This window comes from Homo sapiens, chromosome 11 (assembly GCF_000001405.40).
Source record: "Homo sapiens chromosome 11, GRCh38.p14 Primary Assembly".
In the NCBI taxonomy this organism is placed as follows: Eukaryota; Metazoa; Chordata; class Mammalia; order Primates; family Hominidae; genus Homo; species Homo sapiens.
The window spans coordinates 82988101-83001998 of NC_000011.10; the positions used below are offsets into that span (position 1 = coordinate 82988101).

Consider the following 13898-nt stretch of genomic DNA (forward strand, 5'->3'; position numbering starts at 1 on the left):
AAGCATTTTACCTGTGGCAACTCACTTATTCCTCACAGTAACCCTATGAGGTAGATACTATCATAATACCCATTTCTTGCATGAATAAACTGAGGCACAGTAAGATTAATTAACTTGTTCAGCATCTCATAGCCAATATGTCCCAGAACCAATTCAACCAGGCATTGTGGTCCCAGAGTCCCCGTTCTTACTCACAATGCCATATTACAAAAGGCATGATACAGGGCAAGCTGTGACTGTTGGCATTTAATCAGCAACTGGAGGGAGAGCCAACCTCACCACTTTTCCAGTTCAAAATTCAAATGGATGTATTAAGGTATTATCTTTGTTAAAGAAAACAGGAATCATGCCATGGCAGACAACAATATAATTTTCCTTCAGGTCTCTTAAGTTCTATGACCTTGGCCAAGTCACTTAATCTCTTTGGGCTTTGATTATTTCTTTATAAAAAGTGGTTAATAACACACAACCTGCTGAAGGTTCACTTTTTCTGCAGTTATCTACCAGTTCTAAGTCCTAATAACTAATAATTCTAATAACAAAGAAGAAGACAATACTTGTCAATTTCCCTGCACAGAGTAGACAACTACTGAAAACGAATTATTCTCCAGGGTGGCTGCTAAGTGTAGAACAAAACACAAGGCCTTGAGAAATAAGAACATCAACAAAAACAATAATCTTTCCTTCTAATTGCACGAATTTCACAGGTCACAGGTGTATTCATGTCCAGGGACATAAGATTGCTTCCTCAGGAAGGCTTTCCAGAACCTTCAGATTAGGCTAGGTTCCCCACCCCCCCACCCCACACAGTCTCTCTTGCGATACATCCTGTCATTCTCCCTCATGGCACCTGACATGCCTGAATCATTTATTTGTAATAATTTGTTTAATAGCCATCTTTCCCACTAAACTGAAAGCTTCATGAGGGAGACGTCAGGGTCCATTTAGAGCAAATAGAGCACTTGGCAAATAGGAGGTGCTCAAATATTTACTGATGGTCTCATTTAATCTTTACAACAATCCAGTGAGGTAGGCAAGTGTACACCTCCCCGTATTAATGGAAACTGTCCCTTAACTAACTGGTTATTCACAAAGCTAGGACATGGCATCCAGGCCTTCTATTTCCAGTTGAGGACTCATTCCATGCTCCCATGCTGCTGTTGCCACCAAAGACTAACTAAAATGTGCATCTGTATCCAAAGAGGATGAATCCATTGCTGTCACCCTCTGCTCATACTAGCTTAGCTAAAGAGACTGCTGAGTGACCCGTAGTCCCTGCCATGAATCAGCAGCACACAAAGGCTCTCCTTTGATCTGCAGTTGCAGCTGCTCTTCGATGATACACATGAAAGCCTGTGTATGCTAAAGGCCACTGTACAGATGTTACGGTTTTTGCTGGGACAAAGGCTATTTCTCTTCTCTGCCTCAAACCTAGGGACACGGTTCCCCTCTGCCAGGATGTGTCTTAGAATAATGGGCTATTGTTTTAAAGCTGCACTGAGCCCCTAAAACACTTGTGATTGCGATTTAGGAACTGTTCAGTATTAGAAATCAGTGTGTTCCCACATCTTGAGAACAGCTTCGAGGGTTAAAGTCACTGAAATATTTTCTAGAACAGCGATTGTATGAGCATGCCAAGATATGTTACCTTCTCATAGGGGGCTGCCTGTTTCTAGCTGACAGTTGATTATTGAGGATATTCATATTCTACTGCCTTTGTCACTCAACTTGGTTTCACCATTCTCTGCAATTCATTTGCGCCTTTCGGCATCTATAGGACATTAATATATGCAAGGTACTGTGCTAGGCACATGGAGTATATAAAGATGAATAAAACACAGGGAGGATATAAAGATGAATAAAATCAACGCTGATTTCAAACAGCTCACAGTCTATAGAAAGGACACACACAGTTAATTAACTATAGCAGAATACAAGATGTTCTATTAAAAAGGAAGAGAGCGTCTCCTGCTGTTAGTCTCATGCCTGTCAATATGTTTTCAATACTGTAGCCACGGGCTTTCTAACCACTCTCACCTTCAGCATGTGGCTACATTGTTTGTCTACTCTCTTCTCTGCACCACTACTTAAACTCCATTGCCTCACCGTCATAATAATGTACTGCAATCATTGGTTTACTACTCTACTACTGAGTTCTTTGAGAGCAAAGGCTGTCTTTTATTTGACCTTACACCCCCAGTACCTTCCTAACACAGCACACAGCACGTGGTAGAAACATTTGAATGATGGCTAACTAAATGAACAAAGGATTGTGGAATCACAAGGGAGGAACTGGTCAATTCTACTTAACAGATTAGTAGGGTATTAAAGAAGATTTCACAGATGGAGCTAGATGATAGTAAGTTCCTAAGGGGCAGGGATGCTTTACCACCACAGTGCTTGGCACAAAACATTTACTACAACACAGGATGGAGGAATGAATGGATGGACAGATGGTTGAAGAAACAAATACATATAAATACTTTCATGACTCTCCTATCTATCAACATAGATCTGACTGGAAAGAGATACAGCAAATCTTCTATTTCTATTATGATTTATCTCTTAAGGCTAAAATGGTTTAAATTGAGCTTAGAGTTTTTCTTATTACTCATTAATTTATAATAGACTAAAATATATATGAGAAAGTTCTGTGTTTTTTCCATTTTTTTTATTCTGCTAAAACATACATAAAATTTATCATTTTAACCACTTTTAAGCATACAGTTCAGTGGTCTATATATGTTTTAATTATATTTTCTACCAGAGGTCACCTTCATAATGCAGACCCTTTTAAGAGAAGGGCCTCTTCATTAATTTTGTTTTTACTGATTTGGCGCTTACTTGGCCTTAATAGCTACAAAAATCTAATACCTTGGATTCCCTGCCTTCAATCCTGGGAGCCATCCTGGAAAAAATGATACTTGTAGAGGACACTGATGAGGGTGTCAGGAGAGTGGTCCTGCCACTCACCAAGCGGGTGATGCCATACGAATCACTGGTGGATTCTCTTATCCACTGACTTTATGAGGCTCTGGGAAAGCCCGCAAACTACTAGCAAAAAGACACTTTAACATCACTGAGAAAAGATACTCAGTAAATGTTAAAGAAGAAGGATGACAGGCTGGATGTGGTATCTCATGCCTGTAATCCCAGCACTGTGGGAGGCTGAGGCAGAAGGATTACTTCAGCCCAGGAGTGATCAACATGGCAACATAGTGAGACCCCATCTCTACAAAAAATAAAAATAAAAATGAATAGCTGGGCATGGTGGCACACACCTGTAGTCCCAGCTACTTGGGAGGCTGAGGTGAGAGGATCACTTGAGCCTAGGAGGTCGAGGCTGCAGTGAGCTGTGATTGCACCACTGCACTCCAGCCTAGGCAACAGAGCAAGACCCTTTCTCAAAAAAAAAAAAAAAAAAAAAAAAGATGACAATAAGACAACTATGCAGTTCTGCCCTCTTCTAAGAAAGGATTAAAGAAGTTGTTCCTCATATGCCTACATGTTAATGAGGCCCTTAAATTCATGTGGTTGAAGAGGGCCACCCTGTATCTTTATTTTATATATTGGGCTTGAAAGAATCACAGGCAAGTTGATTTGGACTGGATTTGGGAGATGAGCCAACTGTCACTTTTTATAGATAAAGTTCTAGAAGCCTGAAGAAGTACTGGGGATAGAAAGTGTGCTGTGAATACAAATATGAGTAAGACACAAACCTTGCTCTTGGGGAGCCTGTGGCCTTATGGTGGAGTCAGATGTTATAAAAATATCAATTTTTGCAGTGTAATAAGCACTTTTTAAAATAAGGTTTGCAGAAAGTAGAATAAATGGAATATTTATGCCTGGGAATTCAGGAAAGAAAAATAAGCCTGTTCTTTAACAGCAGGGACCATTCCTTATTCACCCTTATTTATGGCCAGTGCCTGGAAGGTAGTAGGCACTAAATCAAATAAATGAACTCATATATATATGAATGGAAAACCCAAATATCTGGAAGTAAAATGCATGAAATAGTAGTTATCTTTACCCAACTCCTTGGGTAACTACCTCCCCTCCACTAGGACAACAGAAAGCTACAAAAGGCTCCTCCCATCAATGCCTCCTGAGCACACTCCTGTCTCTCTTTCCTGTCCCCACAGCCTAGCTCCTTCTTCCCACCCCCCACACTATTTTTGTTCACTTTTTAGTTAGCATTTATGTGGATTTCATACCCTGCTTTTATCTTCCAGTGCTCCAGCTCCCCATTCACTGCTGTATTTGGTGTGGATGTCTCTGCAGTATGAGCTATTTTAAGGAGTCAGGGCTGGAAGAGACACTGAGAGAGCTTCTGGCCCCCATTCAAGGACCTCCTCCTAAACACTTCTCTGTGATGGCAAGTATCTAGAAAATGCTGAAGAGCATTATGGAGCTTCTCTGCTCTTCCCAAGGCACTCAAAGGAAGGAGAGCATGTACGTATGGGAGAAGGATGCAAATAAATGGACCCAAACATAGGATGCTTAGGTTGGGAATCAAGGTAGAACTCTAAAATGCCAGTTTTCATTGTGCTGCTGATAGCTGGGCTATCCTTCCTTTCCTTCCTTCTTTCCATCCCTCCCCCAGCCTTCTCTCTCTCTTTCTCTCTCTCTGTCACCAACACACACACACACACACACACACACACACACACACGGTCTCGTTCTGTCACCCAGGCTGGAGTGCAATGGCACAATCATGGCTCACTGCAGACTCAACTTCCCAGGCTCAAACAATGCTCTCACTCAGCTTCCCGAGTAGCTGGGACTACAGGCGCATGCCACCATGACCAGACAATTTTTTATCTTTTGAAGACATGGAGTCTCGCTATGTCTTCAACTCCTGGCCTCCCAAAGTATTGGGATTATAGGCGTGAGCCACTGTACCAGGCCTTGGCTATCACTTCTTTCCATAAAACCCAGCTCTGAAGAGCCAACTGTGGAACTTCAGTAACTCTGACGGCAGGTAGAGCACAGTGCCAAACATCAGTATATTTATCCTCCTTCCAGGTGATTTAGTCTCCCTTCACATTTCTTTCCATCACCTTCCTCCTTTCCTTGCTCCAGGTGATAGGCCTAGTGTGCCTTTCTTCCCTTCTTCTTTCATGGCAGAGGAGACCCCAGAAAGGCAGTGGGGTGTACTGGTTGGTGAAATGGGTTCAAATCCTGCCTGTCCCCCTTCCTATACTTATCTATGTGTAGCCATGGATAAGTAAGTTATTTAACCTCTCTGAAGCCAGTAAAACGAGGATAATACCACTTACCCCACAGGTTTACAGTAAGGACTAAACTAAATATAACATATGTAAAAGCACCCAGCAGAGGCACTGACAGATTGTAGGTACTCAATAAACATTCTCTCCTTTGTCCTGTTCCTGGACACACCATACTTCTTCCAAGTACCAAATCATCCAGAAGCCACAAAGGCTGGAGGGGCAGGAAGCAGGGGCTAGAGAGCATGTATCCTTTCCCATACTCCTCATTTAGTGTCTTTCCTTTTTAGAGACAAGGATATGAGAGGAGACAGGATAATTTAAATAAGTGATTCATAATGAAATGTAGAAATCGGGAGGCTCTTTCATGGGGCTGCTGTTTAGAGGAGGTAGCACCTGCTTATTGGCCCAGCTCAAGAGATCCAAAAAGAAATTTCTTCCTTATCTTTATGTCACTTGTGACATGACAGGAGACAGGACAAACTTGCCTTAGCCATTTTCTGTCTTCTAATCTGTAAACACATCATCCAAAATTCCTTCCTTCCCCCATAAAAAAGACTAGAAGAACTCTGGAAATAAGCCATTATGGCTGAGTGCATTGTTTCCATGTGGGTTTCAATTAGGAGATTTAATAAATGGTTATGAAAGCAGTACTTCCCCTAACCTCTCACATAGCACCTGACAACCTTAGTGAATATTTAGCACCTTACCTTTACTTTTTCACCATTAATCTCCACTGTCTTAATCATAAAATCAACTCCAATTGTGGCTCCTTGACCTGGGGGGAAAAGACCCTGAAGAAGAAATAATAGAAAAGAACAGCTAAGCAAATATTTCCATTAAATGAAATTTTCTCCTCTCCCCCAGCAACACCCATCACCGGAGTCCTTCCTTCAGCTGAGGTGACTGGTAGAAAAGAGAACTCTGGTTACTCTCAAGGGAGCCCTGTGCAACTCTGTATGTATGTCTTGAGGGAAAGAGAAAGGAGGGAGAAAGTGGGAGAGAGAAATGCTGAAAGAAGAGGAAAGAGACAGGAGGACAGAGAAAAGGAGATAAAGACAGGTGAAGGAGAAAATTGAGAAAGGGCAGGGGAACCTGATTTTAAGAATGAAAAAGAAAAATCAGACACGAAGATAAGATTGAAGGGCATGCGACCACAGGGATGAGATCAGAATTGGAAGGGTCAGGGCAAAATGGATAGGTTCTTTCTAAAAGATAAAATCAAGGATACTTAAAACTAGTTATCAGTCTTGAGCATGGACAGCCACGGGAATGGGCAACAATATGAAAAAACAAATAAGAACTCAGCATGAGAAGCGGGAATAAGACAGTTTTGGGATCTGTCTTTTTGGATCTCCTGAAGCTTCTGAATTTTCCTTTGCCCCAGGGTGATCACTGTTTTCCTCAGTACAATGTACCATGCATGTGTAATTACATGGGATCAAAGCCAAAGACACTGGGAAGATAATCTAAGAAAATTAAGTCATCAAGGAGACAGTAGGGTAGAAACAGCACTAAACCAGGAGGCAGCAGCCTTAGGATCTCTGTGTAACCTCAAACAAACCACTCACCCTCTCTGGGCCTCAAATTCAATGAGTTTGAGGCTGATGTAAGCCATTTTAAAACAAATAAACAAAATGCTTTACTTCAAACTGGAAACTTAACCAGAAAGATGAGATTTTAACAAAGGTACAAGTATAATTTATGCAATTTACTATTACATAATGTTTCCTATACGCTTAGGGAGGGAGTTGGGAGTAGCAAGAAATTCTGTCAAGAAAGAACTCTTCACCCAGTTTCTCTTCCCTCTTCACTTATATTCCAGAATTTCCAGAAATTAAAGTAAAATGGACGTTATTAGTTCTGGCAACTATGACTCAGATATCTTTAATTAAGAATTATTTAAAGTTTTAGCTTAAAAGACTGAACTTCAAACCAAAAGAAAATGTTCTACTGCATGTTTGCAAAAGATGTAAATATAAACATTCATAACTTTACTTTCAAATATTGAATCAATTTTCTTCTATTTTGGCTTGGCTCAGATACAAAAGCTGTCAAGCTTCAAGTTTATAGCTCCAGATGTTTTGCACCTCAACAAATGCCAAGAAGTTAAACGAATTCTTCCCAATGTTTCACCTACCATTTTGTTCCCAACCTCTGTGCCTAAAAAACAGCTAGATCCAGTTCATTTTAACTGTCTGCTAAATAACAAAAACAAACATAATCTTGCCTCTGACATATGAGTTTATGGTGGAGTTGAGGAGCTGGGAGGGGTAAAACGTAGACATAAAAGACAAATAAGAAAGAAGAAAAAAGAGCTTGTTGGCAAAAAATTACTGTTGAAAATGGAGACATTTTCACATCTAATGACAGAGTTTGTGCTTTTAAAGAGAATGGTCTCAGAAGTTAGAATGTATAGGAGACAAATTATCAGGCTAAGAACCTGGAACCCGGGTTCTAATCCTAGCCTTGCCACTCTATCTAATCTCACAATATAAGATCCTAAGCAGGCATTTAGCCCCTCTAGATCTGACCTTTCATCTATAAAGTGAGAGAGGTGGGTTGAATAATCTCTAAGTGACCTTTCAATACTAAGACAAGGTCAAGGAAACTTTTGATAAAGGGACTGAAAACTTTACTACATCTCTGCAGTCTTATCCTTTTGTCAAAAGCAGAAAATATGACTAATGTTAGGTAGAAGTAAAACCAGCTGGAGTTTCCAATATATCTCCATGGCAGTTGACTGAGCCCAGATGCCTATTAGCTTGTTACTTTTGATTTCACCAGGCCACGGCTTAGTAAAAAGCATGGGTTCTATTCACTTATCATGGGAAAAACCCTGACATTTCCAAAGTGACTCTGGGCCCTCTAGCTATTTGTTATTCAATCTGTCTCTTTCGTTTTCCGCAAAACCACAGACTGTCAGAGCTGGAAGGGGCCTTGGAGCTCACCCAGCCCCTGATGTGCAACAGGCAGTCCCAGGAAAGGGAGGTAACTTACCCAGGCTCACAGAGCAAGCCAGGGGCAGAACCAGGACTAAGACCCATGTCTCAACTCCCAAGCCAGTGCTCTTTCCACAGCACCAGGTTATCCTATGCCTTAGATAGAGGAGCAAGTTCCAACTTGCTGAACAAGTACTTTATGAAAATTCAAGATATGTATGTAATGGTCCTACAAAGGGTATCATTCATATTTTTCAGGGGAAAACACACAAAAAAGGTCAACTTTGGAATGATTTCTATATAAAAGCAGTATATAATCTCCAGCAGTGATTCTCAAAAGGGCAGTCCCAAAGGGAACCTGTACTTAGATCATATGATAAGAATTGAATTCAACCCAGAGAGGCCATTCAATTCAGTTCAGATAATTCTTCACTATTTTCATTTCATTCCTACTGAAGAGGTTTAGAAAATTGGCCTATTTGGTCCTAAATGAAAATGATTCACTCAAGTTTCCTGGGAGGATGTAAGGGGGCATAGGCAGAGTTTGATTGGTTTAATTTGTATTAGAGTTTTAAAAAATTTAGGTTCAGTTTGACGTCCAGATTCATTTGTTTCCACCTGGGGATTATTAATTAGTAACTTCCTTTTATCCAATAATTTAGTTTTGATACTGCACACTGACAGCAAAACCACTTGCCTTTGTCATTAAAGGAAGCAAGAAGAGGCATGGGAGGGTTGGTGGAGACTCCCAGGGCCATGCTCCCGTGAGGTGGTTTAAAAACCCCTTGTCTTGGCTACAAAGCAGATGCAGCTTTCAAAGGGTGCATCAGGAACTCACAGCTAAGACCCTGGCATTGAAACTGGTCATCCATCTCGACAGATTCCCCCAACCCCTCAGGCTAGACTGACAAACCCAACCCTGGGCTTACGAGTTCCCTTACGAGTTCCCTTACCTGAGTGAATCTTCGGACGAGGCACGTCTTCCCCACACCAGCGTTGCCAATTAAAACAATTTTGAACAGGAAATCATAATCTTCCATACTCATTTACACAGCTGCAAGGCAAACACAGGCAAAAGTGAGAAAGGCCCAGTCAGACTTGCCCACAGAGCTCAAGCTGCACCAGCCTTCTCTCCGGGGGAACAGGTCTGACTCATTTAAAGAGCAATTTAAAGCTCCCCTCCGGTGACCCTGCCAGCTAGACAGAAACACAGGTGTTTGGTCACAGACGGACTTTATTCCTTCTCAGCTACCTCATGCCACAGAGAATAAATGACGCAGATGTCGTTTCACCTGGTAACCTTTATTCCTCCAAGCTATCATGTCGCAGTTTCCTCCTGTGATAAATCTGTTTTCTTTCAGCATGAAAAGGAGATGACAAACCTCTGTGCAGGCAAGCTGGGGTGCAAAAAAGCAAGGACAATAGCGAGCCCATCCAGAGCTTAAAGGACGTTTATGGAATGTGTATGACTCTGGAAAGAAGTACTAGTGATGCGCAGACTGAATGAAGAGGAAGGAACTATAAAGGGCCCTTTTAGTCTCCTGCTTCTGGAAGTCTTAGGGTCTTACAAATGGTAGTCATAGCCATCTTTCCCCTCTATCTCCTATACATCTCCTGCCAGCCATGCTGATGCTACAGGGCCTCCCAAAGTGCCTGTCTGTTCACTCCTCTGGGCTTTGGTATGTGCCATTTCTTCTGCCTGGGATGCCCTCCCTTCCACCCCTTCTGCACCTTGAAGTCCTTGAAGGTCCAATGCCAGCAATTCTTTCTCTTTGAATCTTTCACTGATCTTCCCCAAATAAAGTTAAACACTTTCAACACTTCTCTGTCCTAAAACTTCACTTGCTGTATACAATTGTTTGTTCAAATATCTGCCTCATCCTTAAGGGATGGGATTATGCCTGTCAGCTCTATTTCCTAGCCCCTGGGACAGAGTTACTCTTTTAAATGTCTATCCTATAGAAATAAAAAATTAATTAATGGGCATGTTGCTTATGTGTAGGCCTTAGTTTCTCCAACTGCGCTAGAAAGACTGTGACTAAAAGGGCATACTAAAAGAATGCTCTGTCTACTTCAGTGGACTGCTGTGAAGATTTTTTAAAACTTACAAAAGAACCTTATACAAAAATTACCCAGGTGTGGTGGCGTGCCCCTGTAATCCCAGCTACTCAGGAGGCTGAGGCACAAGAATCGCTTGAACCTGGGAGGCAGAGGTTGCAGTGAGCCGAGATCACACCACCGCACTCCAGCCTGGGTGACAGAGTGAGACTCTGTCTAAAAAAAAAAAAAAAAAACCAACCTTGATACACATAAAGCCCTATCCTGGTAAAAGCAATTGTAATCTACTGGGTGCTTACTATAGGATTCTGTTATCACCACAGGAAATACAGAGAAGAGACAATGTCTGCCCTCAAGACCAACATGAGAAAAGTTAAATAATGAAAAAAAAAAAAAGCTAAATAACAATTTGCGCCAACAGTGCAAGAGTGGAGCTCTTTTCTTAAGGTGTAGGCAGAACAGACCCAATAGACTCTGGAGAGAGAGGAAATGGGCAGTTAGGGAGCTCATGAGGGGAAGGGTGCTGGGAGATAGGAAAGCGTCAGGGTCACTCCTACCAGCAGACCTGGAGCTCAAATGCCTGCAGGCTTGTAGGGCAGAGAGGAGAGCCCAATTAGCTGAACCTGTCAAGTAGCCAGGGGAGTAAATTCCCTATGTGCAAAGATGATGTCTGTGTAGATTTCAATTAATCCTTGGAAAAATGACTGACAACCAAGCCAACATGTAGGTAGCTCATGGGGTTCCATCCCAGTTCATTGGGCCTGTGAAGGAAAAACATTTCTCTGTACAAGAATCTGGGTCCATAAGCAGTGGTAGCATTATACTTGGCCCTTTATGTGTATTTCCATTTGTTTCTACAAGTATATAAGGTTTGTATTTACTAACACATTATCTGTTTTACAGATTAGTGAACTGAGGTTAAAGGAAATTAAGAGGGTGGCCTGAAATCATAAAGCTAAGCACCAGATTCATGTTCCAAAGGCATATGGTATCATAAAAAATGGAGCCAGAGAGACCAAGGTTCATACCCTGGCTGCACTGACCTTCTAAGCCTGTGCCTTTGGGCAAATGACAATTTTTCAAAGCCTCAGCTTCCCCATCAACAAAATGGGGCCAATAACACCTATACCACAGAACTGTGATGCATGAAAGAATGAATGGGAGCCCCTAAGGGCAGTACCTGGCTCTTTGTCACCCAAACTCCTTAAAAGGATTCTCAAATTTTCCATGATCTGGTTCCTGCTGTCACTGCCAGCTCTGTCTCCTACCACTCTCCTCATAATCCACATTCTAGGCTCACTGGATTTCCTCAGTTACTTAAATACCATGGGATTGCTTTTCTCCTTAGACCTTCACATATATTGTTCCATCTGCCTAGAACACAAAACACAACTGAACCTCGCACCCTCCCCCACCACCCCAAGCCTCCCTGAGATCTCAGCTTCAACATGACTTCCTCCAGTCTGCTCCTCTGACCTACGAAGGTCCTGGGCCTCCCTGCTCTAGGCTCCCACAATGACCTCCTTTCCTGCTATAAACTCACCATGCTACCTGTAATTAATTATTCACATATCTCACACTCTGGCCCCATCCTCAGCACCTCAGCCCTACACACATGTACACTCATGACTGTGAGCAGCATGAGAGCAGTGACGTGTCAGGTTGAGTCCAGATCCTAACCCCTCCCCATCATCATCATCTCATTCTATATTATTAAGTCACTTAATCTCAAAACAACCCTATGAGGGGGACGCTATACTATTAGTATCCTAATTTGGTAGAGGGGGCTGCTGAGACACAAGAGAAGTTAAAAAAGCAGTCGTAAGGTCCCACAGCTGGTAACTAGTGGAGCTGAGATTCATACCCAGATAATCTGGCTGTCACATTCATGTCCTTGAACCACTACCCAAGTGCCTTTCACAATGCTGGCTCAGAGCAAAAGCTCAAGAAAGATGGATGAATTACATGATGAAGGCAAGCACTTAATCAATGTGATCACCCTTTCCTCTTCACCTCTGGCTTCAAATATAAAACTCTACCACCCTGTAGAAGTTTAAATAAGAATCAAAGTCAAACTCCTGATAAACACTCAGGGACATGATATATAAACTAAAATTCAATAACGCTATTAGAAAGAAAAATAATAAAACTCACGGAAGGCACATGGACAGCAGGAAGGCATGAGGCTCTGTGGACCACAACTCTCTGCTTTCATAAGCCCATAAGAAACAGGAAACACAGGACTGGACTGCATTCTTTTTCTGTGCCTAGATTGTTTGACACACACTCATTTCTACATCTTTGCTGGAGGTCAAAGAACCAAAGCAGGAAATCCAGAGGAGAATGTCAAAAGTAAAGACTTTAGAAACAGGGCTCTTAAAGAAAGTTAACGGTGCCCAAATTATGCACCTTTAGAAAAAGAAGGTGAAAAAAAGGCTTTGTCGGCCGGGCGCGGTGGCTCACGCCTGTAATCCCAGCACTTTGGGAGGCCGAGGCGGGCGGATCACGAGGTCAGGAGATCGAGACCACGGTGAAACCCCGTCTCTACTAAAAAAAAAAATACAAAAAATTAGCCGGGCGCAGTGGCGGGCGCCTGTAGTCCCAGCTACTCGGGAGGCTGAGGTAGGAGAATGGCGTGAACCCAGAAGGCAGAGCTTGCAGTGAGCTGAGATCGCGCCACAGCACTCCCGCCTGGGCGACAGAACGAGACTCCGTCTCAAAAAAAAAAAAAAAAAAAAAAAAGGCTTTGTCATGGTGAACATTATCTCATGTGGTTACCACCTGGAGCAAGCTACAGAATAAGTTAAGACACTACCCCTTTCTATAAGAAATTACTCTAATGCTCTGTTGAATGTGTTTTTGTTTGTTTGTTTTGCTTTCTTTTGTTTTTGAGACAGGATCTTGCTCTGTTGCCCACACTAGAGTGCAGTGGCGCGATCATGGATCAAGTGATCCTCCTGCCTCAGCCTCCCAAGTAGCTGGGATTACAGACACAAGCCACTGTGCCCAGCTAATTTTTTAAATTTTTTTTGTAGAGACAGGGTCTCACTATGTTACCCAGGGCTTGTCCTGAACTCCTGGCCTCAATCAGTCCTTCCACTCAGCCTTCCAAAGTGCTGGGATTACAGGCATGAGCCACCACGCCAAGACGTTGCATGTTTTTTAAATGGACCTCTGGGTAAAAATTGGTCTTTAATAATGCAGGCTGTCTATGTGTAAAGCTGGACTGTAAACTCCAGGTAATCTGTTGTAGTTACTGTTTTGCTTCTAATGGAAAACACATTACTGAATGAAAAGATCACAAGATTATCTGCAAACTTCTACTCTTTGACGAAGCCCTTCTGTTTGGTACATAAAGTAACAGCCCAGGCATCACCAATCCCCATGTGATGAGACAGCGTTTCCCCCTGAATAAGGGAAACCCATTCAAAAGCATTTACACCCAGCCCTAAATTGACAACAAAAGTCATGCCTCATCTAGGGAGTAGACACGCCACAAGATATGCTACTACCAAACACTACTGCAGTATTTTATATTCTATTATTGTTAACATTGATAACAGCTGGCACTTATTCAGTGCTTTTTATGTCCTGGGTACTCTTCTACATGTATTTGCTCATTTAATCCTCATAACTCTATGATGTAAGTACTCATATTATTATCCCTAAC

At 42.1% G+C, this 13898-nt stretch overlaps 1 protein-coding gene across 4 annotated transcripts in view, besides 1 other annotated feature; it reads right to left on the bottom strand.

The window, feature by feature from the left end:
- RAB30 (RAB30, member RAS oncogene family) overlaps nt 1–13898 on the bottom strand; it is a 98765-nt gene that overhangs the window by 14968 nt on the left and 69899 nt on the right. For all 4 annotated transcript variants that reach the window (NM_001286060.2, NM_014488.5, NM_001286061.1 and 1 more), the window contains 2 exons: nt 9124–9224; nt 5939–6022 (listed from right to left, as the gene is read on the bottom strand). In NM_001286060.2, coding sequence (NP_001272989.1) covers nt 5939–6022; nt 9124–9216 — 177 coding nt within the window. In that variant the 5' untranslated portion in view covers nt 9217–9224. The remainder of the gene's footprint in view (nt 1–5938; nt 6023–9123; nt 9225–13898) is intronic.
- Nucleotides 7840–8019: an enhancer, noted in NCBI's record as "active region_5340". NCBI's record gives its function as "activates an Ori minimal core promoter by ATAC-STARR-seq in GM12878 lymphoblastoid cells {active_cell/tissue: GM12878}" and the evidence as "EXISTENCE:reporter gene assay evidence [ECO:0000049][PMID:35858748]".